At 41.5% G+C, this 3,780-nt stretch overlaps 1 annotated feature.

The window, feature by feature from the left end:
- Positions 1,076 to 1,576: an enhancer, noted in NCBI's record as "H3K4me1 hESC enhancer chrX:116438886-116439386 (GRCh37/hg19 assembly coordinates)". NCBI's record gives its function as "activates a minimal SCP1, AML or CMV promoter by ChIP-STARR-seq in naive H9 embryonic stem cells {active_cell/tissue: H9 hESC(naive)}" and the evidence as "EXISTENCE:reporter gene assay evidence [ECO:0000049][PMID:30033119]".

Genomic DNA, 3,780 nt, shown 5'->3' with positions numbered 1-3,780 from the left:
ACCATGGCATGTAACAAACCTGCACATTCTGCACATGTACCCCAGAACTTAAAGTACAATAAAAAAAATAAAATGATTTCATTTTTTATGGTCAAAATGTATTCTATTGTGTATATATACCGCATTTTTTCTATATGTTCATCTGTTGATGGAAACTTAGTTTGATTCAATGTCTTTGCTATTGTTAATAGTGCTGTAATAAACATGTCAATGCAGGTAACCCTTTGATATACTGATTTATTTTACTCTGGGTTAATACCCAGTAGTGGAATTGCTGGATTGCATGGTAGTTCTATGTTTAGTTTTTTTGAGAAATCTCCATATTGTTTTCCACAGTGACTGTCCTAATTTACATTTCCGCCAACGGTATATAAGAGTTCCTTTTTTTTCCACATCCTCACCAGTATCTGTTTTTTTTTTTTTTTTTTTTTTTTTTTTTTTTTGTCATTTTAGTACTAGCCATTCTACCTGGGGTAAGGTGATATCTCATTGTGGTTTTGATTTGAAAGCCCATGATTAGTGATATTGAGAATTTTTTCATATACATGTTGGTCATTTACATGTCTTTTTTGAAAAATGTCTATTCATGTTCTTTGCTCGCTTTTAAAAGGCATTATTTGGAGTTCTTTAACTGTTAATTTTCTTGAGTTCCTTGTCTATCCTGGATAGTGGTCTCTTGGTGGGCCAATCCTTGTGCCTCATTGGTAGCAGTGGCAGGTGGAAAATGCCTGTCCTTGGGCCCCAGGGTAGCATAAACTGGCACTAGTGTTAGTGGGTCCAGGTGGACCAATTCTTGGGCATCCTTGTTTGGGTACCTGCAGTGGCAGTCATTGGGTGGGTGGGAGATTCCTTGGGCCCCGGGGCAGTGAGTGTGGGGCATGGGTGATGGCAGTAGGAGTGGTGATACAATTTTCTGGCTCCCAAGCAGTTCACGCTGGTGTGGACAGTGGCTGTGATGGGCTTGACAAGCCAGTCCCCAGACTGGCAGGTGGTGCATGCAAGTGGGAGCCAGCTGTGATGGCAGCAACAGGTTTGGTGGGTCTGTCTTCACTCCCCTGGGAAGAGTGTTCAGGTGCCAACAGCGGTGGATGGAACAGGGTCATTCCCAGGCCCCTGGATAATGTGCTTGGGTACTGTAGGATGGAGCAGAGCTGGACGAGGCTGCCCTCAGGCTCCCCAGTGGTGTGTGTGAGCTCTGGCTGTGGTGAGCAGGGGCAAGGTGATTCCCAGGGCCCCAGCAGAATGCTACAGTGGGTTTGGCAACAGCTATGGTGAGACCTTGCTCCAGGGGCAAGTGGGGTTGCTTTCAGTGACAGCAGCAATAAACAGTCAGCTGGAGAGTATCCACTTCAGGCCAATGTGGTGACTATAAGCAGGGTAGCCTTTCCTTAGCACTCTTAATTGTGCAGTTGCCCTCCTATTGGATGTGGTTGGATTGTTGCTAATGGCTCCTGCATTGGTCCTGGTAGGCAGCAGCCAGTGGTGGCTCCTGGATGCATACAGGGTATGTCAGTGAGGCATCAGGTATATGGAGATGCAGGGGCTGTTGGCCCCAGGGCAGGATGCAATCTGAGGGGCTGTGCTTTCAAAATGGTGCCATGCCATGGCTGCTTATGACTTAGGTGGGTATGGGTCCCTGTGAGATTTCTCTCTGGAGCAATGCCATTGCATGCTTTCCAGGCAGCTCCCTATGTTAGTCTCAGGGTATGTGTGAGTCAGGGGGCTCTCCTGTGGCTAGGATTGCAGAACTTCATGGTGGGAATACAGACCACTGGAAATCTCTCATTTACTCTTTCCCTGAATTGGGGAGCCTCTTCAGGCTCCAGCCAATCTCAGCTGAGCAGGTTGCCTCACTTCCCTCTCCTTTCTTGCCTTAGGTGTTTCCTGTCATTTGTCTGTGAAATTCCAGCATTCACTCTTACATGATCAATTTGAAATATGATTATCTATTAGCTATTTTTGATACTTTTTGGAGGGGGCAGTTACAACATGCATCTAGTCAGCCATCTTGAAGCCATAACTGGGTTTTAAGACTAATTTTGCTAGGCTTCAAAACCTATGTACCACTGTATCATACTGCTTTTTGGGTGGAAGCATTTCAGATTTATCTCCTTTGTGCTTCTGTATTTGAAGGGACTTCACTAGTTTTTGACCAGCTTCAACCACTTTCACTAGCCCTCTTATTGAGACACATTTTTTGAATACTGTGGGGAAATAAATTCCAAGGGAATGTTAACTGTGTAGAGAGTTGAGCAACAAGGTTCCAGGCTTAAACATTGTTATTCTATGGAGAAGTATCTTGTTCATAGGAGTATCTTGTATTAAGTGTCTTGTAGAACCCTTATGCTTTTAGCATCTGGTCGTTTATTGTGTGAGAGTAGATCATTTGAGGTAACAATCTCAGACAAAAATGTTCCCAAATCATCCTGATTTTTAAAAATATCTCATTAACTAAATCACATTATCAACCCACATGCATGTCTATTTTCTGCCTGTACTACTTTTATAAGCCTTTATTTTCAAAAGTTTACCCCCTGTTGCATGATAACAGTAGTAACTCATTGATCTGGCAATATTAGGGGAAACTCTGTCCTTGTTCTGCTGAAAACAAGCCCTTTGCAATCTCTGCTCATTTTAGAGGGGTTGGGGTTTATTTTTGTATTTCAAACTCAAAATTTTATAAAACTATAACATCTAATTGCAAAAAAGTCAAGTAAAAGTCCACTAGTATTTTAAAATGCAGAGAACCTTTGTATAGAACCATTATTCTTCATCTTGATCTGACTATAATCAGGCTTTTAATCAAAAGGTTTGGCATTTTTAAACATCTATGCTCCATCTGCTCATAATATGGGCAGTAAAATAGACTTTTGATGCTTGTTACTATAGCTTGCCTTGTGCTCCAGTAAATATGAGCTTAATAAAATATATAACCAAATTTTTGAATTAAATCCAAACTATTAATAATTTGCCAGACTAGCATTATGCCCATTAAAAAAATTAGAAGATTAAAGCTCCACTTTAACTCAGAAATAAACATTGCATAACCATTCTCCAATTTCCTATTATTTTCTTTTAACTATTCTGCAGTTGGAGTATGAGACCAGATGGCCTTCTACTTAGTGAGGTGAAAGACTAGGTTAAATAAAAGACACTTGATGGAAAAATCCATTACCCTCCTCTATTCTCTTCTGTTCAGTGACATTTAGGGAACTTACACTCTTGAATTTGTGCACTATTTCCACAGGATGATGAAAGAGAACATCCTTCCTCAAGTTGATAACAATCAGACATTTCTATAATCCATTTAAACTTTTTCAGGCAGAGGCAATAAAGGTGAATGCAGTGGTGTAACCAGAGAAGGGTATGAATCTCTTTTGTGCCTCTCCTCGCTGTGTACTGCTAGTAAGACTGAGCCTGGGCACACATCCCAGGGAGAGAAAACATTCTACTGGTGAAGAGTGTGGACTGTAGCTTTCAATAATGGAATTTGAATTACAGCTCTACCGCCTCCCAGCTTTGATATCTGTGGCAACTTATGTAACCACTTTCAAACCCTAGTTTCATAATCTGTAAAATAGTAAAATAGCCTATATTATCATGATACTGTTTTGAAGATTAAATAAGATAACCCAGAAGGAGCCGTGATAGCCAACTAGACACAGCCAGGAGGAACATCTCCTACCAAGAGACTGGTACTTTGGGAAGACTGGCACACTCTGAACAGACCTTCAGAGGGAAGGCATTGAGAGTGGATGGAGGGAGGATGCAGGTGCTAGG

The sequence above is a fragment of the Homo sapiens genome, chromosome X (assembly GCF_000001405.40).
Source record: "Homo sapiens chromosome X, GRCh38.p14 Primary Assembly".
In the NCBI taxonomy this organism is placed as follows: domain Eukaryota; kingdom Metazoa; phylum Chordata; class Mammalia; order Primates; family Hominidae; genus Homo; species Homo sapiens.
The sequence above is the reverse complement of the archived record's forward strand: the minus strand, read 5'-3'. Positions and strand labels throughout refer to the sequence as shown.